The sequence below is a fragment of the Homo sapiens genome, chromosome 2, assembly GCF_000001405.40.
Source record: "Homo sapiens chromosome 2, GRCh38.p14 Primary Assembly".
In the NCBI taxonomy this organism is placed as follows: Eukaryota; Metazoa; Chordata; class Mammalia; order Primates; family Hominidae; genus Homo; species Homo sapiens.
Window position 1 is genome coordinate 60,563,891 of NC_000002.12, and position 26,861 is coordinate 60,590,751.

General features: G+C 42.0%; 2 annotated features.

The window, feature by feature from the left end:
- Nucleotides 17,802-18,091: a silencer, noted in NCBI's record as "silent region_11518". NCBI's record gives its function as "represses an Ori minimal core promoter by ATAC-STARR-seq in GM12878 lymphoblastoid cells {active_cell/tissue: GM12878}" and the evidence as "EXISTENCE:reporter gene assay evidence [ECO:0000049][PMID:35858748]".
- Nucleotides 18,070-18,219: a silencer, noted in NCBI's record as "fragment chr2:60809095-60809244 (GRCh37/hg19 assembly coordinates)". NCBI's record gives its function as "represses an EF-1alpha promoter that drives an FKBP-Casp9 reporter gene in an ReSE screen in HepG2 liver carcinoma cells {active_cell/tissue: HepG2}" and the evidence as "EXISTENCE:reporter gene assay evidence [ECO:0000049][PMID:32094911]".

Genomic DNA, 26,861 nt, shown 5'->3' on the forward strand with positions numbered 1-26,861 from the left:
TTTAACTTAATGTGACCAAGAAAGAAATTTAAATACTGAGTCCATACTTGTGTTTTCAGCTATTTTACCCTCAGTAAGATTGACATGATATCTGATTTGTAGTAACAACCAAAATTAATACATTTATGACAATGCTAAAAAGTTGCGCTTCAATACTTACAATTTTTAAACATTTTAGAAGGAAGAAGATTGTCACTATGGATGCTAAAAGGGACAAAAAAGCCCCTGATTTCAGTTGGTATCTTTTATTAATTTTTTTAGGAATGAGAGATTAACCAACAACCAGGAAACAAATATTAATCCTGAGGTACATTTTTTTCAACACAATACCAAATGCCTAAACATTGTATGTAAACTTGCACTGAAATAATAAGATGATGGCAGTAATTATTTCAGTGAAAATTTCCCCGGCCAGAGTAACAAGCAGAGAGATCACCTAATGTTACACTGAGAGGTAGAATACAAGAACGCGTAGTGCTGTGGTGACTAATGGGTGATAAGAGAATCCTTCTGCTTGCTGTTTGGGCATTTATGTCTCCAGTATTATTGATAGCACATATTATTTTTACTACATGGTGTCTTTATTATGTAAAACCTAATTTCAGGAAAAATTATTTTTATCCTCTTGATTTTGATAGGCATTTGCATAGAAAGGGTAAGATGCAGAGAAGGCCGTGTCTTGTGGAATTCCACTATCATGAAGGATGTGCTGATGATTGCTAATACCAGTTCTATAAGCACTGTGTACACCGGCCATTTAAAAGAAAAGGAAATTAAGTACAATAGACTTGTGATAAAATAAGAAAGAGGTTCTGGTGAAGATACAGGGAGGAAGCAGGATGACTCAGAATTAGAGCTTCAGTCTCATCCTCCCTGAATGTTCCTGTGTCCAAGTATCACCAACTAAAGAGTATATGAAATCTCTCACTAAACTGAAACCCCTGGTGAAACAGCACATTAACTGCACCTTGGTCTTGAGGTGGAGATAAGATTAGATTTTTCTGGGTGTAATTTCAATTATGATGCTGACTTTTGGTGGAGTGGTTTTCAAGAGAGCAAGCAGAGTAACAAAAATCTGGCATCCAGAACCAAACAGGCCTGAGTGTCTGGACCATGGACAGCTTCCACAAAGAGGATCGGTCAAGAAGGGCTGAAAGAAAAGGTATATCAAAGGTATCCTTGGAACTCAGAGCCAATAAAAATGAAACTATTCTCTTCTGAGACCTAATTAACTTTTATATCCAAAGGTACACTACACATTTGTTCTTTGCTTATGATGAGAACTAAAACAATATATGTGCCATGGAACTAGGGTTTTAAATGATCTATTGGGTGGCTTTTCCTCGCCTGTAAGGAATTTTCTGTTCTTTAGAGGTAGTCAGGCAATGAATAAGTAAGTCTATGCTGATTTTTTTTTCTCAAAACATTAAGTATTTTCCTATATCTATTTTCAAGGAATCAGGGACTTAGTCCTATAACTTCCAAAATATTCCTTTCGTATCCTAAAACAAAACAAAAACAAAAATATTCAGGAAACAAATTTCATGCTTCCTTGCAAGGATTAGTCTCCTATTAGTCACTGCTCCTATATGATCCTTTTTCATGTTTTAAAGGAGGATATATATTTTTCTGTTACCTTTCCTGACTGTAAAGCAATCACAGGAACCTGCAGGAGGCACTATAAATATGCAAATTTCTGAGAGATAACTGTTTTCAGTGGTTATGCCTCCAAGTAGTAAGGGAAACAGGAAAGCCGGAGCTTCCTCCTACTTTCAAGTAATTCGTATGTTGGTGGTGCCCCCTGCTGCAATCACAGGTTGTCCAAGAAAGGGAGAATAAAATTCAGAAGCATTTAGATCTGGTTAATATGTGAAATAAATGCCCACTTCCCCTGCTCCAGGAACAGCCATACCTGAGTTCAGAGTTCCTCCCGTCAGCCACAGTTCCACTTTAAACATTCCTCAACCTAAAATCTGGAAATTTGCTTTTATCTCAAACCCTTTAAAGATGCATGTTACATAGAGATAGGTTTAAAAAAAAAAAAACTCACCAAGATCCCAAACACCATTTTCAAAGAATGAAATGTTTTAAGAATTTCCTAGAGGTTACCTAATGATAATAAATTCTGAATTAGAAGAATTTCCTGCCACTTACTAGGACATTAGAACAGAAAGGGAAAAGTTAGTGTTAACAGCATGTACAGCTATTACACAGCTTTAAATGGCTTTATCTATTAAAGGAAAATTTTGTGAGTCATTAGCTTATAGTGTAGACTGGACATTTTGATATTCAAAATAAAATGAAATAAAATAAATAAATGAAACAACCAAGTTAGGCACATTGAAATCTGATGGCCATAGCTCTATAGTCACTCTATTACAGATTTTCATATTAAGATGGGCAGGGCGGGGGGTAGCTGACAGAACAGAATAATATGATATAATTCAGACCTGTGATGGTCTATTGAATACATAATATGCATTTTTAAATTGCCTGAATATATATTCACATGACAGAATCTAATGGGTTGAGGAGGAGTCCTTGCTCTGATCAAATCACAAAAACTGTTAAAACTTGTCTATCACATCAAATCACATACACTTTTATTGAAATTGGGTGGGGTTTTTTTGTCTTCTTATTTAAATTCTAAAGTTGAAATAGATAAAAGGAAATTAAACCTACCAAAAGAAACTCAGGTGTACATTAAAAACTCTAGATTCTGAGCCACCAAGGCAAGCCTTGATGAAAGACACTCAACTTTTTCTGTTAGACTCACCTCAATCTTCCCCAAGGCCCCACACTCCCTAATTTTGCTATTTTTTAACATCAGTTTTAGGAATATAAGCTCTCTCCTAATGTAAACATCTCACCGTGGCTACATACTGAAGTTTGAATTTCAACTTAGCTCTGTACTTCTTTTCCATATTCAGATCTTTACAGCTACAGCAAAGTGGAGGACTGAGGAAATTACCTATGTAATTTCAGCAATGAGCCTGCCTTTATCTGCACCATCCAGGAATCTTGTATCCTGTGTGTTGAGCTCTGACCTGAGGGCCCACAAGGAGAGAAAGGGAGAGAAACTGGTGGATGCTATTTACCAGGCAGAACTAATTAGAAATAGATCCCGATATTAATGGTACCAACCCTTTCCTCACCCAAAACTTAAACAAGCACCCATCACTCTATATGATCAGGAGAATTTTTAAACCCCTACTCCAGGTTTTACTGCCACAGAAGGTGAACTGTTAGAAAAAGAAAACCAGCATGCACAAAACAGCAGTTGGGAATGGAAGCTCCTCTTTCCCAGAACCCCTGCCATATACGCTCTGTCGCTCACCTTCTAGACACTCCGTACAACCATTCAATCTATTGAATCAAGAGACTGTTTGATCTTATCTGCATCTGTGAGCTGACTGTCAACCTGCTTAGGCTGCATATTAAATCATCTATAGTAGCTGTATCAAGCTGGGATGATCTGTTAATTCTAAATTTATTAACCCTTGGAGTGCAGTCATCATGTTTAATCTAGTGTAGCCCGCATTTATTTTACAAGACTAAATCCTTCTTTAAGATATGGCTGTGCTGTAGGTTAAAAACAGCTAATGTGGGTTTCATTATGATAATTGGGGGGAGAGAGACTGTCTGAAAAATGCTAGTGTGGCTACCCTAACAGGCTATGGATGTCTGATCCCAGGCACTCTCCTAGGCTGAGGTTTGCCTGTGAAGTGAAATTTTCTCCAGAAACAGTTCAGTCTCTGAAAACAATGCAAAAGGAAAAAGAGGAGGGGGAAGAAGAAAGGGAAGGAGTCCTCTAACAGATTTCCAATGGTCCAAAGCCAGAAAGACTGATTTCCAGCCAGTGTCAACCCCTAATGTAATGCCTAAGGAATAAATTTCCAAAGGCACACACCTGGGAAAAAAAAAAAAAAAAAAAAAAAAAAACCTCAACAAATTCCTCCAGTAAGTCAAACTTCTGAATCAATAAGGATCAGCTATTGCTGGAATGAATGATTTTTCACCTCCCCTCCCCCAAAGAAGAACTCTAAGCAATTAGAATTATAGGTAGTCCTGCTAAAGGGGAGGGGGGGAATATTCGTTTAATATGTTAGTCTGTCTTCAGATAAAAAAAAGATATCCATCTCTTCTACTTGCCCATTACTGATGTTATCAACATATTCATAGCTTTTCTTTCAGACACAAACTGCTAGGCATGCTCCCTTTTTTGGTAACCACGTGCCTGATATCTCTCTAATGTAGCCTAATAACAATTTTAGCATTCAGATGAAGCGATTTCATTCTGTGACTGCCTTTTCTATTAGATTTGATTTTGAGAAGCCCCAGTGGGTGCCTTCGAGGCAGAGATCTATCTGTGAGGCTGCTACCGACTCAATAGCAGCCTGGGCTAACCTTGACCTTTCCTGAGACCCCGCTCCATCTGGTGCCAGCCTGCTTTCCACCACCCCCCCTCCTTTTTTGCTTCATAGTCAACATTGATCAAGGCAGAACGGAGCGCCTCGTCTCCTGGAAGGGCTGGGCAGACTCAGGAGAACAGCACATTTCAGTATATGGAAATGATCAAGCCTCTTATGCAATCATAAATCTACATAGGAGTCTTGTGATTTGATATTTCATTCACCTCCAAAGATTTTTTTTCTCCCTCCCAACAGGGATTTATAAGCTCTGTAAGAGCTCCCGGACAACGGCTTTCCCCAACACCTGGAAATTATCAAGCTTCCTGCTTGCTGAATGATGCTAACAGCTCTAATGCTGCAAATTCATTTTTAACAACTCACTGGCTTTTATCTAGGATTTGTGTGTGTGTGTGTGTGTGTGTGTGTGTGTGTGCACATGTGCCTTTCTTTAATAAAAATCTACCAAAGCAACGGATAGTATCAAAGATACCAAAATCAAATCTGACTTGAATATCCTACATCTCCACACCCATCCTCATTATGCATTTCTAGATAGATGGGTTTTTCCATCTCTGAATTCTGACCCCTTTTTTAACCATCAAGAGGGGAGAGATAAAGAGGGAGAGAGGAGAGTCAGAGAAAAGAGACACAGAGGAGAGAGAAACAGATGGAAACATGCCAAACAGAGAGAGGTAACGATGTAACACTTGAATGGAGCTTGAAATCAGCTTCTCTCCTCCCTAGGCCACATTCCTCCTTTCCCAAAGACCCACACGAACGTCTCCTTCTCCAGATCACCCACTAGAGTACACAGATGCCTCCTCTGCCCCACACTCTCTTTCTTTCCTCCTCTTCTCTCTGTATCAGGGGCTGGGTGGTAAAGAGGCTGACTGAGGGGGAGTCACGTGGGCAGCCCGTGGGCAGCGGCGGCAGCAGCTCAAAAGAAATTGACTGACTGGCCGCTTGGGCGCATTTCAATATATGGAAATGACCAGAGGCTTCTGCAATAAATCAGCACTCAACACTTTGTCATTTTTCTAGTTCTGCTTCATTTTCCTATTTTCCTCTTCTCCTCACAGAAGCCTCATTTCTTGCATTTTGCCTTGCCGCGTCTCTTCCCACTTCCAACCTACACCCTCTCCAAATCTTGCCCCATCCTCTCCATCGCTCCCAACCACCGCGCGCCCCCACCCCCGACACACACACACACACACACACACACACACACACACACGCACGCACACACACACTTTCTGTTCTCTGGCTCCCCTGTAATTGGAAACATCCGGTCTACGACGATTTTTTCCTTTTCTTTCCCTTTCAAAAAATTTTCCGACAAAATCAGGCAGTATTTGCTGCCCTGCCTCGGATTATCTGAGACAAGAGGCGCCCAGGATGAGCTCATGTAATCCCCAGGATGGGAACCTCAAGCCCCTTATGATAAAGAAAAAAGAAAAAGACCAGGATACTCATTCCTTACCCCAGCCCCCACTCCACCCTCGAGGAGTTCCCTTAGCAAACTTAAAAGACTATCAGAAGCAACTTGTGCCATGCAGTGCCATGGAGAGCGCTGGATGGCTAGCCAGAAGAAAAGGGAAGGTTGTAGTGGAAATCTACGTGGGTTTGCAGGTTCCTGCTTTTCTTGTGTAGAGCCTCCGGTGCCCTCCACCTAACCCTGCCCCAATGCCTCGGGTCTTTTTTGAACTAATGCTGTGCGTCTCCGCAATCTGCAATTACTTTGGATATTTCTCAGGAGCTAAACGCAGCCTGAATTTCGTGGCGCGTGCAAAAAAAAAAAAAAAGGCGAAATTAACAAAACCCCACCACCGCGCTGTTGTTTTTTTCTGGAGTTTTTTTTTTTTTTTTTTTTTAGTTCGGTTCAGAAGCAAACGCTACCTAGTTTCTTCCACTCCCTCCCAGATCCTACTTGAGATCTCTAATCTTTCAACTTGGGTCTCTGTTTTGCCTACTGGGCAGCCTCTCTTTTTTTTTCTTTCTCTTGGATCTAGGAACAATAGGCATGTAAAGGGTCAGTGGGCATCACCCTATAAAGCTCAGAACCTAATTAATTTTATTAAAGGAAGATCTGTTTATGCAATATGACAGCCTGGGGGAATTAACCATTTGAGGACGCAGACGCTGTTGAGTCACCAGAGATTCCATCCTCACATCATAAGCTTATACTTCCTGCCCCATTTGATCCTGGGCGGCACCGTGATCCGGGTCTGGTTTTTGTTTGACCTTGTGAAGAGCTTGTCTGAATCCCGGGGTTCTGCACAATTGGAGGGACACCCGGAAAATCCGTATATTCCCATTGCCAGACGGCAGTTGAAGTGCTCACCCATTCATAGTTTGTTGTCGTGACAGCCCCAAAGCTCTCACTATTTGGAACTGGTGGGGAGGTGTGGGGCAGCGTGAACCTCCGGTGCATCCTAGAGTGGATATTTTCTTGAAAATAATCTGCTTAGAAATCACATTCTATGAAATCCAATATGCCTTCTCAAGAGCGAAGGAAAATGTAACAGTTTTTAAGTTATTATTTTTTATTTTTTCCTGCCACTCTGGTAATTTGAAATACATTTTTAATAACCTCCTGGAAAAAACCAATTTAATAGTTCAGACATATTGTTCTTTGACTTAATATCCCTGTGTATTCCTTAATTGCCAAAACAAAGTTTATTTCATTTACAAGGGCTAACTGTATATCTCCTAGGAATTCTAATGTCATAGTCTCATGGTTTTTTTTTTATATTATCACCTTGGATTTTGTTCAACATGGATCTAGAAACGTATAGCATATGTATAGAAATAGATATGATAAAATATTCAAGAGCTCTCTGAAGGAAAATGTGCTTGAAAATAACCCCCTCTTTTATGGAATTTGTTTTGATTTAGATCTATAGATAGTAAAAAGAATGAAAGAAACTGTGAATTACACTGAATCTAAGATGTTTATCACTTTAATATTACACTTCCTAGCTTCCATGTTACAGAGCTTTAGGAATAGTCCCCAAACTTTCAGATTGAAGCTCTGCCTTGTACGGTCTGAGGTTTGTCTGGAAAGACCTGCCAGCACATGCCAGCTAAAAATGAGTGTCAATTAATAATAATAAAAAAGCTCCCTTATTTCTACACTCATGTAATTTAACAGGTTTGGAGAGGAACATAGGATGACAACAGTTGTGAGAACATTCCAATATATGCAGTTCTAACAGCTTTCATTCTAAGACGCCAAACCTTCCGAAAATAGAATGGCTTAACATTTCTTTTTTATATTAAAAGTCCAATCTACACTTCACATAAAATGTTTTTTTATCACAAAAATATTTGTCTCTAACAAAATGCACTTTTTGTTCTACCAAAAAAGCAAACATCTTGAAACAGATTCTCCCAGCTTTTTACAGCTCCCCATGGCAATTTTCTGTACTATTTTCAACTGCCCCTCCCCCATATGAGACACTTTGAACACTGGAATAAAAATAATTACTATTGAAACACTGAACTAGAATGCCCTGTTTCCCAATATTGCTAACAAAATCTCTAATTCTCAGACTGCTCTCTGATGGAACTAGGAGAATTGGGGAACTTACACTGATATTTCTAAGTGCAGTTTGTTGTTTTAAAAACATATTGTACTGATTAATAAAAATGTGAAATAATTTGAGTTACAAATTTTGAACTACGAATCGCCATCTGCTCAAATGGGGGAAAACCAAAAATTGCCGAATATATTTTCTCACCTCTTTTTTTTTTATGATAACATAAACAACATTCCTGAATAATTTAAAAAAGAAACTGACTACACTTAATGCATTTTTATAGTTCAACAACTGCTTGGTGAGTCCACCTTCTCAAACGTGCAATTATTTTTTCCTAATTACTTACATAGGTTCTATCAAAAGATTCAGGTTCTAGTGCTTTTCCCACATATTGTGCAAATCTGCTTAGCTTTGTTTATCAGGACTCTAAGTCCCTGGGTTGATATGATAAAGTAGACTGCATTGTGCAGTAACCCCAATTTGGTCCTCGGTGTCAACTATGTCAGAGACCTGTAAGAACATTCAAAGTATCCTCTGGGAGTGGGGAGAAAAGAAAAAAGTCTCCATGAACCCAAACTTGGAGGGAAAAGCACAACTATCAAATAGATAAATAGATACAAAGAATTGTGATAAAGAATTATCTTATCTTTTTGTGGGAAAGAAAGTAGGTAGGTGGATCTGCCATTCAGGGCTATTGAAAGCAGTTGTTGATGGTCTGGCATCCAGGACCCAGTGGAACTTACTATTCCCCCAGCAGAAGAAACAGCAGAATACAGATCATCTAGGATGTACCAAGTTGTAAGGATTCAAGCAATGAAGATGATGAGCCAGGAGCAATTGGTACAGGGGGTGTAATAGAAGATCTGATGGAGAGGCAAATGTACTGTTTTTAAAACCATATCCTAGGCTTCCACATGACAGATAAAACAAGTTGATTTTCAGGCATCCTAAAAATAAAGAAATTCAATTCTATTAATCACAGAATAATATGATGTATTTTCCTTTCCTTTTTTTTTTTTTTATTTTTCTTTAAGAGAAGAAAACTCTGACTGTCCAGGGAGGAGAGGATGCCTCGTTTTTCTTATAAACAGACATTGGCACCAAGATCAAAAAGCCAGAAATTTGTAAGTTATGTCTGCAATAATCACCCTTTGCCAGGGGGAGGGAAGAGTGAGCCAAATGATGTCATGTTGTCATGCCTATCACCGTCACTGTTCAGTTTCAGTTCAGGTAAAAATGAGGGTGTAAATTCCCAGGCCCCTGGAATGATGAGGACGTTGCTTCATCGTGTTGGAGTTGGGTAGAAGAAAATGAAGAACTCGTCAAAAAATGCTTCCAGACGACCTTGAACATCAGCTGCTCTCTTTCTACTCAAAGTATAATTCCTTGAACATGGCAGCTGCTACTTTTGTTTTGATTTGTTTTTCATTCATAAACAATCTCTCTAAACTTATAGAATATTGAATATTGTGTATAATGTGAAATAGGAAGTTCTCTTATTTAGAGTCAGTTCAATACCAGGTGCTTTTGAGTATCAGAAAACTGTGTCACATGTTGAGGGGACCGAAGACAAGTTAACAACAAGAAAAGGTCCATGTTGCGGAGTGGGTCAGAGTCCAGGGGAGGGACTCACATACAAGTCTGACTGGGGAACTGGCAATAGGTAAGAGGTCAGGGAGGTGCCCCAAAGCGGGAGAATTTTCAACTGCTGGGGAGGAATGAGTAGGGCTTTGCTACATGGAAAATGTGAGAAGAGCACTCAGAGTGGAAATACTGGCCTGAGCCTAGAGCAAGAGGCTCAAGCAGGCCTGGTGAGTTTGGGGGCTGCATCTTGCCTGATGTAGCTGAAGCACAGTGGAGTGACAGGAAGATGTCTGCAAAGGGAGGTTGGGGCAAGTCTGGGGAGAACCTGGAATGTCGTCATTCACAGCCTTGACCTGAATCTCTAGGCAAAGGAAAACCATTAGAGGTTTTGGAGTAGGGGTGCTGGGTGACATGCTCTTTGGAAAAATTGAAAGCTGGAGGCAATTTAGAGAATGGCTTGAAGCAAGTTGTTCTCTGCCATTCAACTTATTTTTCTATTTGCCAGTCTGCAGAGGAAGTGGCCCATATGCAAATGAAATGATTTGGACCTCACCAGGAATGAAATATTCACCATCTTCTCTTTCATAATTGACGATGATGCTTCTGATGGTGATTTCTATTTACATACACAGGATGGCTGAATCTTCTCATAGAAAGTCTACTCTTTGAATGCTTCTATAATTGGACTGTCTAAGAACCTAATTCATCCTTCCCTGTGGGGGCCCCAAAAGTTTTTACCTCTAACCCCTTGACCCAATTTGCCAAAAGGTAAGACTCAAATTTATGAAGGAAATCCCTCTTCTCCACCTCTAGGAAGAAACACTTGAAGATGTCTAAGCCTGCCCACTATACAATCACATTCATTCAGCATCCACTATATGCACAACCTTTTGCTGAATCTTCTTTTAAAAAATGAACCCAAATAGAGATATTGAGAAAACAAGGATGAATAATACATGACATTATACATTTTAAAACATTACCTAAAATCAAATGAAAGAGTAACAATTGCTATCTGTTAACCGGTTGGATGGTGAGCTGGTTTTTAGCACGACATCCCTGGTGCAATAAAGCTAAGTTTTGTAAATTAAAAATCCTTTAAAATTAGATTCTGTTTTTACAGGGCTGGAGAGACCAACTTACAGAACTTTAACCATGAAGTTTCATGGCTCTTGTCTTACTTTTCTAGTTCTATCCAGTAGAAAATAACAGTATGAAAAATGGGACACCATGCTGCATTTCAAATAGCCTTCTGCTAATTAGAAAATTACCCTGTATCTTCATAAGGGCTGCCAGCATTGTTTTAATATGGCTCTGCTAATATACCGAAGGCCCTAATTTAAAAATCTTGTATCTTGGCTGCTAAAATCACTGCAGGCTGAATCTTGTCATACAGGAGGAGATTTTGTTTCTCAGTCCAGGGCATGGAGCATGATTGGTGTCAGTTTTACACGCCTGGAATGTGTGTGTGTTTAGAGGGGTGGGAGGGTGGAGAGACAAAACAATTGTCTTTAAATGCCTTCTTCTTAGCACACCTTAGCTGTGATCCCAGATCGGAACCCAGTTCTCTTGAGAATGAAGGCTGCTTTGACATGTTAGTAAGGAAAAAATCAAGTAACTCAAAAATTTCTCTTACAGGATTTAGTTAAAATATATATTTATGTGAGATTTAAACAAAGTAATTTCTGCTGTATGTTTACAATTGATATGTTTGTCTGTTAAAATTTTTTTTGCTGTTTAAATAAAATCTCTTAATAAGAATGAGCAAAATGTGTGGATCCAGTTATATAAACACACATTCACATGCATATCAGCAAATATTATGTAATACATAGAAATATACAGTACATCCACTTTGATATCAAAATTGAACACCTATGGTCTGACTTTAGAAAAATGTTAGGAATATCAGACTTAAATTCTTACTTCCATTCTTAATTATGACTTGGTATTATTTTTATATGCTTCCCTACTTCAAATATCAAACAGTAAAAGCTTTCATGTGTCTTACATATTCATGTCATACCACAGGGTCAAGGCCAAATGCCAAAGAGTCGTGACACAAAAAAAATACCTTTCAGCCTGAACCTCGAAACATCAGCCTTCACTTTATCTGTTTAGGGTATTATTTTAATGTAAATTGGTATATGGATATGATATTACTCAAGGGAAGAGATATTCATAAATAGCTATATTTCTGAGATTTAACTCAGAAAATTAGTTTTGGTCTTTTATTTTTATCTTCTTTTGCTAGCTGTACTTTCAAAAATGGTTTCTCGTTTAAACAACTTCTAGTTCAACTAAAAAGTGATTATACCCTTGAGTTATTCTTATTTAAATTACAGGCCCATAAGCATTTCTTTTCATCCTTGGCAAAAATTAAAAAGTATCAACTTAAAATGTAAAAGCATCTCTATCTAAGAAACAAGTTTAATAGTTTACAGTATATGGCAATTTGAGTGTGATGACTACTTCCAAGCTCTGTAAGCATTCATTAGCTTAGTTTCCTCCCGTTAGCTTGCAATAAAAATAATAATATTTGCCATTTAGTAGGGGCTTTTCACCCTCAAAGTGCTTTACAGGCATCAAATGGTTTATTTATTAATAATCTATGTTTCTGCTTAATAAACTAGATTTCTGTTTACAATCAAAGGGAAAATTAGAAAGTGTTCCCCTTGCAATAAGTAAAAGAGTTGCTAACAGACTATCAAATTATGTATTTATTTTGTCCTGCCCATTATTTTAAAATAACTTTCTCTTAGCCAATTAAAAATTTCAAGGTCCTAGGCAATGAAATAAAGCAGTCTGTTTCATGTCTGTTTGTTTTACTAATTTGAAAGGAAGTAGGTAATTTTCAAAATTTTTACCCCCTCAATTTATTCATGCAAAAGGAAACTTGGTTTCAGATATTACAGATTAGACACCAAAGAGATTTATCTATTTCCATTTGTGTTTATAAGAACATAGTGGATCTGTGCTGGAGGTAAGGGAGCCTCTGGAACCCCTAGGGTATCAGCTCAAAGGCCCTGGATTCTATTCCAACCTGAGTGGGAACTGTAAGCTAATATTTTAAAGACCTAAGGCCTCCAGGACATTTGAATTTTGCTTCTTGGGCTCTGGCTTTAGGGCAGCGGTTGGATGTGGGCAGGGGTTAGCCTGGCCCCAAGATAGGTAATCTCTACAGAAGAAATCACATAAACTGGCCTGCGGTTGGGGGGCTTAGATGATACCTATAGACTCAGAAATAAGGCCACTTCCTATAAAACCCCACACCGTTTTTCAAATTGACCTTCCCCATCTCATGATATGCTGTTCCCTGAAAACTAATGCTTAGTTGAAACTACTTATGATTCTATTTTGACTTTACCATCCAGAGTTCTCATGAGGAACATCTGAAATGTTGCAGGCTTCTGGAGATTTCTTTGAAGCAGTGCAGAATAAAAGGAAGATAGAAACTAGTTTACACAGAAGTTTAAAATGGCTCATTGTCCTGCAACTTAAATACATAAATACAGGAAACATCAGAAAGCTTCAACACATTAGGAAACTGTTCCAGTCATGCCCTATGCTATCTTTTAAGGCTTATAGGTAATTATGATAATAAGAATGTTACCAGGCCAGGCGCGGTGGCTCACACCTGTAATCCCAGCACTTTGGGAGGCCGAGGGAGGTGGGTCACATGAGGTCAGGAGTTCAAGACCAGCCTGGCCAACAGGGCGAAACCCTCTCGCTACTAAAAATGCAAAAATTACCTGGGTACGGTGGCACACACCTGTGGTCCCAGCTACTCAGGAGGCTGAGGCATGAGAATCGCTTGAACCCGGGAGGCAGAGGCTGCAGTGAGCCAAGATTGCGCCACTGCACTCCAGCCTGGGTGACAGAGTAAAGACTCTGCCCCCCCCCAAAAAAAAGAATATTACCTTATGTGTGGTGATACTTTATAATCTTCACTGTATTTACACACATATATTTTTTCATTGAAACATACTTTCATCTCTTTTCACATTGATTTTGGCTTGTTTGCTCTTTAATATTTTCTGTTGTTTTTCTTCTAACTGATAAGAATGGGGTAGGGTAAACATCACCCTAGCATGTTTGCACAATGCTGCCTTGTTATAATTAAGTGTATTTTTCAAAGGCCTCTAAACCAGTCATAAAAATTTGGTCAGAGCTAAGCTTGGAATGTTAAGGTCTGATCCTGCAAGCGAATTCTCTCAAACACCAAAATAACCTGAATTTTGGGCATTTAAAAATATGCACTCATGAAACATAAACTCTCCAAGAGGATTTCTGTTTTACAAAATGATTTGGTGTGCCTCCTACTCTTATTTATGCGAAGAATGGATGTGTTCAAAGTTAATTTTGGTCTTTTTAATGGTTGAACAGAAGCCCTGGAGGCAGAAATAGGACTTGTGATTCACCTTCAGTTTAAAAGCGCTAATTTCTGCCTTCTGGGTGCCTTTATAACAACTTGTCCCCATCTTTGGCATCAAAAAGCAACTTTCGAGTGAGAGGGGAGGAAAGGATAGAGGGAGCCAGCCCCCTCTCCCAGAATACAAGCCTCCCTTCTGACGCTGGCTGCGAAGGAGGCTGAGAGAAACAATTTGCAAAATATCCACAGGCAGGACAGAGGTGGAGACGCACCAGCATTTAACAGCTCCTTCTGAGAACACCCACTGAGGTCTGTCTCCTCCCACTGAGGGCCTTAACTCACCTTTACCATCCCTGTAGAAACAGAAGACTAAGTAGGTAAGAGGACCCACCTCTCTCTCTATAAAAAGCCATTTGCTGCCTCATCCCTTATCTCTTTCCAAAGACAGCAGTCATAAAAAAATAACATTGCAAAGTTGGGCAGGAATGGGAACAAAATTGCAATTCAATTGCTTTTTTTTATGTTTTGTAAAATAATGGCAATAAATTAAATAATCAAAATATTGAGCCCTACCAACTGGCTTCTGCCACTTGTTCAGTGACTTCTTTTCATCAGGAAGGTTGCTTTACATACCAATAGGTATTTTTAAAATTATCTCAATGTCTATTTAAATGTGCTGCACCATGAAGGCCTTCTGGTTTTTTTCAGTTGAAATTAATATTTGCTAATAAAAGAACTGTCAGGTCATTGAAGTAAACATTCATTGATGTACCCAAAAGAACAGAATGTTGCCAGTTTTTATTTGCGTGGTATCCCTCTGCCCGAGTCAGTCAGTTACCCAGCAAGGCTGCAGCTCTGGCCACAGCCGGACATCAAGCTCAAGATATGATGAAGAGCTACCTCCCTGAACAAGGAACATAGAATATTGAATTAATTCATTTCACAAGCCCTATATGCTCCTGGCAAAAGCAAAGACACTGTGTGGGCTGGATTTTGCATTTACTCATAAAGTTTAAGGTGTTGGCTATAAGAATGACTGTCAAAAGGCGATTGCAGCATAACCCATGAGAATAAAGTGGGGAGACTCCGGAGGAAAAACTCAATCTCACACCTACTAAATTTTCATATCTATTTCAGGCATAAATGGATTCTGAAATTTTGTGGCTTAAAAAAAAGAAAAAGTTCCGTGAACGCAGCAGAAACTGCAACGTTGAAACATTTCAGTGTGGAGATCTGGAAGCACAGATCGGATTTTGGAGCTGACCTGGGCATGTTTATGATCACAGTCCAAATCAAACATCACAGACCGGATTATCAGCCAGGAGCAGCACCCCTGAAGGTCCCTGTGTTCTGCCATGCGACAGCTTTGCCTGGACCTCAAGTTCTCTTCCTCGGCCTTCTCTTGTGCCTTTGCATTCCTACCTCAGGAAGACCCATACAATAATTGAAAAAACTGAGATTTGGTAATACTTTTCAAGGATTACCAAGTCAATTACTGAGAGGGAGAAAAATAAAAAGGAAATAGTTGAGCATCACATGCTAGGGCACATTCAATTCAAACAGCTCCCAGGGAGTTAAAATTCTCTCTATATGGTGAACAGTGTGTGCTTACATGTCGCTGGCAAGCCCACAGCAGTTTAAGGTAATATTTTGGTCAGCAGGTGTAGACCCCAAATGAACAGTGGTTTAAGACCTGGATTGCAAGAGGCAGGCATGTACCGAAATTAGAAAAGCATTCTCAGGCTATTGTTTAACATTCTACATATGTGAGATACAGAATGAAAGAATGAGAATTATCTTAAAATCCCTGCTAAAGCAGGGCCTGCTTTCTCAAGGCAATCTCAAGCTTTAGTAGTTCAGACAGATTCTCTAACTGACAATTAATATTAATAGGTAGATTTCACAATGTGGCATTATCACACGGGAGATGGGTGGGCACACCATCTGGGTTTTGGCAGGTATTAGATGTAATCAAAGGGATTACTTGGCTCAGGGAGAAATAGAAAACCTTGGGTTTGTTTAGTCTCTTTCCTCTTTTGTTTGGACGCAGCTCTAGGTGTGCTTAACTATTTTCCCCCTTGTTCTTTATTTGTGGTCGGCAACATCTCCAGGGGAAAAGAAACAAAAACAAAAAGAGATGGATGGACAGCCCACAACGATAGCTTGGATATGGAATCCTGGCCCATTTTCCCTTCTTACATAAAATTCACCAAAAATTTATTGAATGCCTACTATGGGCAAGGAGCCTTGCCAGGACACCTCAGCTGTAGGGCAATAAGATGTCAGCACTTACAGGTCTATTTCTGGATGCTTTAGAATAGGTAAAAGGGCATATTGAATCTTCAAGGAGAATGTAATATTTCTTGATCTGTCTTTGCCCCTTGCCCACCATGTACCTCTATCCACACACACACACACACACACACACACACACACACACACACAAATGTTACCTGGAAGATCAAAAGGTGGATGCTAAAAGGTGGCATCCACCTCAGATTTTAGAAAACAGTCACATAATTGCATTGCTTATTGGAAAGATTCAATACACTAGACCAAGGAACCTATAAGAAGGTATACATGTTTATTTTCAATAAAAATAAATGGAAGTCGTTGATTGGTTTACATTCTTGGAGGAGACAGGTGACGAGGCATTCTTGAGGTACCAGAACCCTGATGATTGCTGCTGCAGGTAACTTGTGAATTTTATGTTCAACTTTTGCTCTGATGATGAGTGAGAAGTTGGCTTGCCACCAAGACATTCCAACTCATGAAAAAACACTTCTAATTCCCCAGTGTCTCTACCCAGGACTGTCTTGCATCCCACAGATAAACACCACCCTAACACACAATGATACTGCCATTGTTTCATATTTATCACATGCCCAGAGAAAACAGCAGTGACAGAACCTCAGGCTGGACGGTCAAGCTCCCGCAGATACCGGCACTCCTCCACGCCTCCTTCTGAGCACACAAGACCGCAGAAGATCCCAGGTTCCTTCAAAATTATTTCTGGTAGGATGATCTTGTCCCAAGAACCCAATGTGTGGGATGTATATACTTAGCCACTTAATAGATGACAGTGATTAGCCCCAAACTTTCTGTAACAATAGATCAAAGATTAGGCAGTCCCATTCGCAGGACTAGCAAGGCATTGTAAGGACCTATTTCATCTTCACCTTCATTCTCATGCTACGTTACTCCACACGCAGGGCACCCCCTAACCATCTCCCTAAACAGACAAAATAAACTCAGCTGGCACCACTTTTTCTTTCCCAGCCCCCCAGCCACTTCCAGGATCTTTTCGGGTGTAACAGGCACATGATCCATGCTGTATGTGAATCTTTATAAAATTTTACTGTCAACAACATAACTACATATTCTAGTGCTCAGATCGACTTGAGCCCTTAAGACTGCAGGGCCCACTACAAAACCCACTAGTCACATGCGACTACCTAAATTCAAGTTTATTAAAATTAAATACAGTTTAAAATTCAGTTCTTCAGCCACACCTCAAGCGATCCATGGCCACGTGTGGCTAGTGGCCACCATATTGGCCAGTGGAGACAGAACATTGGCATCATCCCAGTAAACTCTACTGGACTGCGGGACTAGAGGGTGCCAGAACACGAGAGGAGAGAAGTTTTCCTGGACCCCTGCAGAGCTGCGCTTGGAACAGCCAGGCCCAGATGCTCACGAGTTTGCAGTCAACCTAAATGCATGTCTCCTCTGCACCCGGGACACCCAGGCCCTGTAGCCTTTCAAATGGGAAGTCAGGGCAGTGCTGCAAAACCTCCACAGTGCGGAATTCCGGGAAAATTCTTTACAGAGGTGTGGAGGTGGAGGAAAGCTTCCTGGGCAGGCCTTTGGGGTCGTCCCCACGCAGGCGCTTGCAGCCACCCCAGCTCGCGCGGGGCCGGGCTTTGGGGTGTGAGAGCTGGGACGGGAGTCGGGTGGATGCCTGGCCGGAGCCGCCAGCTCCCCTCGTCCTCTTTGCTTGTCCTTTAGCACAAGGGCGAGCAGCGTAGGACAAAGACTCGGGCGGCAGCTGCCTGGTTCGGCGCGCAGGGGCGGCCTCGGCCACCCGGGGCGCCCGCCGCCTCCACCGCCCCGCGGGGGAGGCCCGATGCCCGTCTTTGTCTGTGCCGCCGCCGTGGGCCGGGTCCGCAGGAAGCGGGCGCCATCGTGCGGCCTGAGCTGGACACTGCGCCCCCGGAGGCGCGGAGGCGCGAACCACCAAGCGTGGCTCCAAGCTCCACGGGGACGCTGGTGTCATCGTGGCCACGACTGCTTGTACTGTTGTGGTGCGTTCTCTTTTGTATACTAAGTGCTGTGTGAACACAGAACCACTTCCAGTAAATGCAACTGAGCCGTCGCCAGCAGAAAAAGTAGAAGGAGGTGGACAGACTTGTCTATGTACAATGAATAAAAATACCATGATCAAGAATATTTAGTGATGTAGTTGCTTGCATATGCGTGGAATATATCTGGAACGTCACAAAGGAAAGTGGTTACCGTACCTGCCCTGGTGACCTAGGAGGGTGGCTCATGACTTCCTTGACTTTCGTACCATGTGCACATATTACCTACTCAAAACCAAAGCATTTAACAACCTAAAGATATATTTAATAAAATGTGTCGGTCAGGCGCCGTGGCTCACGCCTGTAATCCCAGCACTTTGGGAGGCCGAGGCAGGAGTATCACTTGAGGCCAGGAGTTGGAGATCAGCCTGGCAAACATGGCGAAACCCCGTCTCTACTACAAATACAAAAATTAGCTGGCGTGGTGGCACATGCCTTTAATCCCAGCTACTCGGGAGGTTGAGACTAAAATCTCTTGAACCCGGGAGATAGAGGTTGCAGCGAGCTGAGATTGCACCACTGCACTCCAGCCTGGGCAACAGAGTGAGACTCCATCTCAAAAAAAAAAAAAAAGTCTATGATATGTACCATGTGCAAATGTTGCTGAAGCCAAAGGTAAGTAAATGCCAAGTCCTTGCCTTCTGGGGACCCTGAGTACATGAACAATCTACAAGTCACAGAAACGGAATTAAACCATGTTTCAAAGGATGCTTGGTCAGGAAGGGTTTTTTGTTTTGTTTTGTTTTTTGTTTTTAGCTTGAATGACCCAGTTCAGCAGGTGAGGTTTTGCAGTCTTGGTGAGGACAGAAAATGTCTTCGTTGTCCTGATTCAGTTGGCCAAACTCTTCTTACCATAGAGTAAATTCCTCTAACTATGTTTGTCTCTGAAAATGCTCACCCCAGAAAGATAGCAGAAAAGTAGCATTTACCCTCTGGCTTATTTTAGAAGCCATGGGTAGAGTTGAAGCTCTCAGAAATGACACTCTGTGTCCTTCCAACCCAATCTTCTCTCCTAAACACTCCACCCCATCCTCTAACCGAAGTCCAAAGTACTCCAACAAATTTAACCTAGAGCCATGTACCAAGTTAGAATTGATTACATTTAAGCTACTTCCAATTACCAGAGCCTTGATTCTGTGGCATAGCCACAGAGTTGGGCCTTGTTGTGGATGGCCTCCCAGAGCATTTAAATCTGGCCAAGGAGCCAAGGTAAATGCACTGGGCCAGTGGAGCTCCTCCAGGCAGGGACAGCACCATCATCCTTTTTGTGACCTCCCCCCAGTGCCTCCATCAGTGCCTGGTAGAATACCTGGCACTGTATTAAACTGAACCCTAAACTTTTTATTTCCCTGGAAGTGCTCTGCAGAGTCATGGAAAAATGTTGAGACAGAAAGCTCAGCACTCCTGAGGTTGGGCTGGAAGGAGTGTGGGCAGCAGGGCTGCCTTAGGTGCTTAAAGAGTCTCTCCTGATCATAAAGAAGACGTGATCTGCATGCCAAATGGAAAAAGCTAGAGTCCTAAGAGCAGGGAGAGCAAACGGCTGGGAAAGCCTCCCCCAAGAGGAGAAAATTTAACTCGGCTGGGAAAGCATGGCTTTGGCCTAAGAAGGGAATGTGTGTATTCACATGTGTGTGCATGTGTGTGTGACAGCATGCATATGTGTGTGTGAACATGCACACGTGTAAGTGGCTGGGTCTGTGCAGTAAGCATTCGAGAATCCTGGTTCACCTGCCTGCTTGGAGCAAAGCATCTGATTTGGGGAGCAGGAGAGCAGGGGAGAGAGAGCTTATTGAGTCAAAATCTATATATAAATATACATTTTTTTTTTTGCCATTGGACCCTTGAGGACCAATTTATAAACAATAACTTCCAAAAATGCAAGACCTAACCCCAGTCCCTATCCTAGATCTCTGATGAACCTCTGAGGCATGAACAGGAGGGGCCTGGCCGGGCAGCAAGAACATGACCAGCATTTCCCTAGCAGTGGGGAAGGGAGTAGAAATGCATCTCAGACTTGCACGAGGCATGAAGTGGGTTAGCTGGTTTTCCTGTTTTCTGTAGAAACAGGGCGGATGCATCCTTCCATGTCCTCTGCTCCTGCCATGAGTTCTCTCTTAGACCTGCCTTGATTGTCCTGCTTCTGATGGGATAGACAAAAGAAATCAGGAACAGTAAGGAGCCTACTTCTTGGGAAAAACTGCTCAGCCAACTGGAAAGTACTTAGAATCTAAACTGCCCACTTGGGAAGGGGGACTAAGTCAACCTGCAGTCCATTTATTGAGTACCCATCAGCATCCTGCACCATGCTGGGCACTTTCAGGCAGGGTAGCATCTTCCATTTTATCTTATTGGGATTTCTGTGACCTAATGAGGGTGGCAATGAACCCAACTCCCTCTGTAACTCCAGAGAAGACAGTATGTCCACGGTACAATCCATGTTTGGATGGACAGTGTCCTTCAAACAGCTGCTTGTCAGTCAGGCGTTAGGCCTTGGTAAGCAAGTAGATGCCTCTTGCCTCAGCTGAGGCTTATTGGCCGTGTCAGGAGCCAAAGATATCCTCCAGTTCCTTAACTACCCCCTACACCACCTTCCCTTCTCTCCCCTCAAAAGAGAAGATTGGCGCCATTGGCTCCTTGAGGAAGACTTTGGCCTCCATGTGCATGTGTGTGTGTGTGTGCGCGTGTGTGTGTGTGTGTGTCTTCCCAGTGGGGAAGCCCTTTGCACTCTCGATGGGGATCCATGAAGCTTCTCAGCCTTGCCTTGGGCTCCCCTTGGGCTCCCCTTGGGCTCCTGGCTCACGGGAGACAGAGGTTGGTGAGAATTAATTGTGAAGTGCATTGAGAGGCACAAATGAAAACCAGTCCCGCGGCGGAGAGATTATTACTGTTGGCAATTTGGGTTTTCTAAAATAGCTCTTAGGATATGACTGTGGCAGCCCAAACCCCAGAGGTGAGCTCAAGGCTGATAGATTTTCAGAGCAGCCCCATTTTGCTCCAGTCTCCGGCTTCCCTTCCCTCCAGGGCGGGGGTGAGCAAGGCAGAGTGGGTCGTGGGCTGGGGAGCACTGTCCCTTCCAAAGGCTGCTGATGGGAGGGCAGCTGAAGGCTGACCCCACGTTCTTGAGAGAAGGTCCCCAGACTTCCCGGCATAATTTCCTTCTCACTTCACTGTTCTCTTCCCTGTCTGAAATGGCAGGTGACCTAAGAGGGAGCGGTGTGCAAATTGATTTGGAGGCGATCAATGGCTCGGGGCGCGGCCCCGGCTCGCTGCCGTGTCACTGATCCTCTCCAAATCGATTCACACACCATTCCTCCTCAGCACACCTGCCATGTCAGATGGAGAGGGACGCATGAAGTGAGAAGAAAATTACGTGTTCGTTAGGCCGCCGCCACCTCCGCCGCTGCCGCCTCTCCTCGTCCCAGCTCCCCACCACGTTCCAGTCCACTACCGCTTGCCTCGCGAGACTGGGGAGCCCTTTTCCATGCACGTGGAGAAAGAACCCAGAGGGTGACGGAGCTGCAAATATTCTTGCACCGACACCACCTCACTGACAGCCTCTAACTCAGGCAACTAAAAGTTGGCCCTCTCCATAACACTGGCTCCCAGAGCTTCTTACTCTTTTACTCTTCAAATTCTGTTGGGGACCAGTTTATAAACAGTCAACTTCATTGGTGGGCCCAGGGTCACTTGACATTTGAATTTCATTAATTTGAATTAATCCACCCATCCATCCCTCCACCCACCCTGTCATTCAACAAGAAGTCAACTCTGTGGAACCCCCCACTGGGTGTCCAGCAGTGACCAGAGCTCAGGCCTGCTCCTCAACATCATGAGTTACGACCAGGACAATCTACTTTGGAGAAGTCAAAGTATGCTCACAGGAAAGGAAGCAAGGAATTAAATTCACAGAAAGAGTTCTTTAGCTATTTAAGACAGAACTTATTACAGTGCTCAGTCCACTAATCATTCATTACCAGTCGGCTAGGGGCTCAGAGGGTGACACCAGAAGGCGAATACACTGAGACGCTAAGTTTTTTCACAGTAAGACTTTCTCAATGAAGGAAGCAGTGCATTTTACGTTCTGGTGCAAGCACTCCCGGACTGGCACGTTGAGGCAGGCACAGCTTATCTATTAGTCACAGTGGGCACAGTGCCCAAGCCCCAAGATACACTTAGGGATTGTGGTAGCTAAATAATGCCCCATCCCCCACCAAAGATACCTACATTCTGGTTCCCAGAAACCATGGACATTACATAGCAAAAGAGATCTTGCAGATGTGATTAAATTAGGGATCTTGAGATTGGGGAGGTTATCCTGGATTATCTGGATGGGCCCAAAATAAACACAAGGGTCCTTTTAAGAGAGAGGCAAGGAGTCAGAGAAACAGATGTGATGACAGAAGCACAATTCAGAGAGTCAGAGAGAGGTATGAAGATGTGAATCTGCTGGCTCTGAAGAGTCCACAAACAAAGCAATATGAGCATCTTTTAGAAGCTCAGAAAGGCAGAAGCATTCCCACTTTGTGCCTCCAGACGGAACCAGACCTGCCAACACATTGATTTCAGCCCAATGAGACTTCCAATCTCCAGAACTATAAGATCATGAATTTGTATTGTTTGAAGCTGCTAAATTTGTGGTAATTTGGCACAGCAGCAATAGGAAACTAACACAGGGGTCAACGACAAAAAGTTTTATTTTCTTTTCAGAAGAAAAAAATAAATTTTTAGGTCAAAGAAAATGTTCTACCATAAAATCCTAATATATTTCTCTTTATACCAATGCAGCTGTAAAATAGAATTTTTGATTTTTTTTATGGTGAGTGGGGCCCACAGAGACAAGGTGCCAAGAGCCATGGAAGTCCCCATGTAACCATGCTTTGAGTAGCAGTGATCACGAGGAACCCTGTCCCCACAAAATTCTAGAAGGATAGGAAAGTACATATCTGATGTACAGCTGAACAACCCATTTGACCACCAGTCTTAATGCAGCCATTCTGTAAATCCTTCAAAAACCGGCATTTTTAAACAGAAGTTAAGTGTGCTAAATTCATTTGCCAAAGTACATCCAAGTTACTTATTTAGAATACGGGAGGGTGGGTCTGCTTCCTTCTGTCTTGTACAGTCTTCAGTTACACAGAAATGGTTTCCCTCAAGATTAGAGGTGTTTCCTATTTATAACTGAGGATTCCTTTTCTTTGAAAAGCTCCCTGGAAGATTTCTGGATGACTTGGAAGCTAAATCAACTAAAAGTTTTTAACGATCTTTTAATCCTGCTTTTGTCTGCTCTTGAGCCACTGAAATCAAGATTCTTCCACAGGCAGAGAACCAAAGTGATTCCTCTCAGCAAACTCTTTGACTTACTGTCCAGGTTCTGACACATTCCTCTGCCAACAGCAAATAAGTGAGAATGCTTCCAATGAGCAGTGGCATCTCTTCTCATTTGTAAAAGGGAGTGTCAGACTGAAAATAGTGGCCAACTGTTTTAACCCAAAAAGCAAGAATTTCAGGCCAACTGCAGCCAAGTGGGCTATTCTTAGCTATGCATAGGAGACTGGGAGGTCTCTCTGTGGGTTGTGGGTAGATGGTTCAGGGTTTGTGACTTTTAAGTTGCTCTTGCAAATGTTTAAAGATGAACAAGCCCCTGCAGATCACATTCATCATGAACACTTCAATTCTATCAGACCTTCATGGCCCTTCTCAAACATCAACTTGTTTTTGAGGTTTCCCCCCAGTAACTCAGGAATCAATTCAGAATGATTCTTTCCACTCCTGATCACCCATGATCCCTTTGATCAGTGCTGTATTTATACTTGGATGACTTCCTAAGTGGTACTTGGATGTTACTTTTGCAGAGTCCTGACACGGTCTTCATCCACCTTGAGTTTTCAGAAGTATTTGAGGTGACCGCTTCTTCCTCCTTTTGTTTCTAGACCTCTGTGACACATACTTGCCTAGTTTTTCTCACACCTCACTGGACTTTTTAAATTCTTTACTGATTTCTTGTTCTCTAACAAATCTCTAAATGTTGAAGCACTCCAGGGTGCTGTCTTTTGTTCTTTTCATTCTCTGTCCACCTGTCTCCCTAGATGATCTTATATGGTTCCATGATTTCATGAACCATGGCTTTATCATAACTGCCAAATGCTACCTCCAGCCTGAACCTCTTCTCTGAATTCTGAACTCATATTTCCAACCATTCACTCAACAGCTCCATGTGGATGTTGTCGTGGATTTGTAATGTGTCAGCTTGGCTAGACTAAACTACGTGTTTCAGCACTCCCTTTCTTACACGCATGCTTCTTGGCATAAAATAGGGTTACATCCTGATAAACCCATTGCAAGTATCATAAATCAAAAATGCGTCTAATATACCTAACCTATTGAACATCATAGCTTAGCCTAGCCTAACTTACATGTGCTCAGAACACTTACGTTAGCCTACTAACTTACTCATATTTTTTTAAAGACAAGGGCTTGCTCTTTCGCCCATGCTGGAGGGCAATGGCATGATGAAAGCTCACTGCAGCCTTGAACTCCTGGGCTCAAGCAGTCCTCTTGTCCTAGCTTCCTGAATATCTAGAACTACACCACACCTGGCTTGTTTGTTTGTTTGTTTGTTTGTTGTAGAAATGAGGTCTGACTTCTTTGCCCAGGCTGGTCTCAAACTCCTGGCTTCAAGCAATCCTGCGGCCTCAGACTTCCAAAGAGATGGGATTATAGACATGAGCCATCATGCCCAACCTTCATTAGCTTATAGCTGGCAAAATCATCTAACACAAAGCCTCTTTTATAATAATGTGTTGAATGTCTCATGTAATTTATTGAATACCATACTGAAAGTGAAAAACAGAATGGTTATAGGGGTACCCTAAGTATTTTCTACTCAATGTGTATTGCTTTTGCACCATCATGAAGTCAAAAATCATAAGGAATTCTGTGTTCTGAATGTGCTGGAAACTTTTTTTAATAGAATAAAATTAAACTAGTAAGTCAAACCATCAGAAGTCAGGGACCATCTGTGTATTTTCAGTTAGGATGGGCTACAAAGGTGATTCCTGGAAGATTTTGGAAGGTGGAACAAAAGCAGCACCCATTTTATAGCTCACAGATATTATTGCTGATCTGCTGACTCATTTCACTGGTGTGAAGCAGCAGTTGGGCCTGCAACTGCACTATCTTCCCTGGGATCTTTCTTCAGCTTTTCTGAATCTTGAATCTGGTGTGTGTGTTTAGATCCAGGACAAAGGGCCCCAGCTTCTGCAGGATATATCTATCTAACAGTTTTATATACATATATACATACACACACACATATATATGTATAATATATATATATATACACATACATATTTTATATATATATATATTTCTAAAAGGCATATCAGGCTGGGTGTGGTGGCTCACACCTGTAATCCCAGCACTTTGGGAGGCCAAAGTGGGCAGATCACCTGAGGTCAGGAGTTTAAGACCAACCTGGCCAACCTGGTGAAACCCCATGTCTACTAAAAATATAAAAATTAGCCAAGCACGGTGGCTTATGTCTGTAATCCCAACTACTCGTGAGGCTGAGGCACAAGAATCACTTGAACCCAGGAGGCGGAGGTTGCAGTGATCCGAGATCCCACCACTGCACTCCAGCCTCGGTGTCAGAGCGAGACTCTGTCTCCAAAAAAAAAAAATGAAATAAATAATAATAATAATAATAAAAGGCATCTCAAACATCATGTGGCCCAAACAGAATTGCTCCATCACTGCTCCCTAATCTGCTCTCCAAAGTTCTCCCCATCTCAGTAAATGACAGAAGGGAAACCACAAGTTAATTCACCAATTGGTCCTGTTAGTTCTATCTCCAAAATACATTACCAGGGTAACTGCCTGTTGCCACCTCTACTGCTAAAATTTTTATTCCAGCCACCACCATCTCTTACCTGGGTAACTGCAACAGTCTGTCATCTACACTCGCAGTTTCCCCTCTTGTTCTATTTACAGCAGCCTATCCTTCACACAGTAACCAGAAAATCTTTCTGGATCTTAAATCCAAACCCTTCCTTCTCCTCCTTAAAACCTTCAATACCAGACCACATGTGGTGGCTCATACCTATAATCTCAACACTTTGGGAGGCCAAGGCAGGCAGACTACTTGAAACCAGGAGTTTGAGACCAGCCTGGACAACATCGTTTTGCCCATCTCTACAAAAAATACAAAAATTAGCCAGGATTGATGGTGCACACTTGCAGTTCTAGCTACTTGGGAGGCTGAAGTGAGAGGATCCCTTGAGCCCTAGAGGTCAAGTCCAGCCTGGGCAATAGGGTGAGATTCTGTCTCAAAGAAAAAAAAAAAACCTTAAATATCTTCCCACTGCAATCAAAATATAAATCCAGAATCCTCCAAGATCCTATATATTTTGACCCCTCATGCTCCTTGGGCCTCATTTCCCTGCACTGTCCCATTTATTCTCTATCTTTAGGCACACGCACTCTCAGACATGCCTGCTCACACCCTGGAGCCTTGGCACCAGCTGTTCCTCCTGCTTGGAATGCCCTTTCCTCAGGACCTCACTTGGCTCCCTCCTCACTGTTTAGACCTCAACTT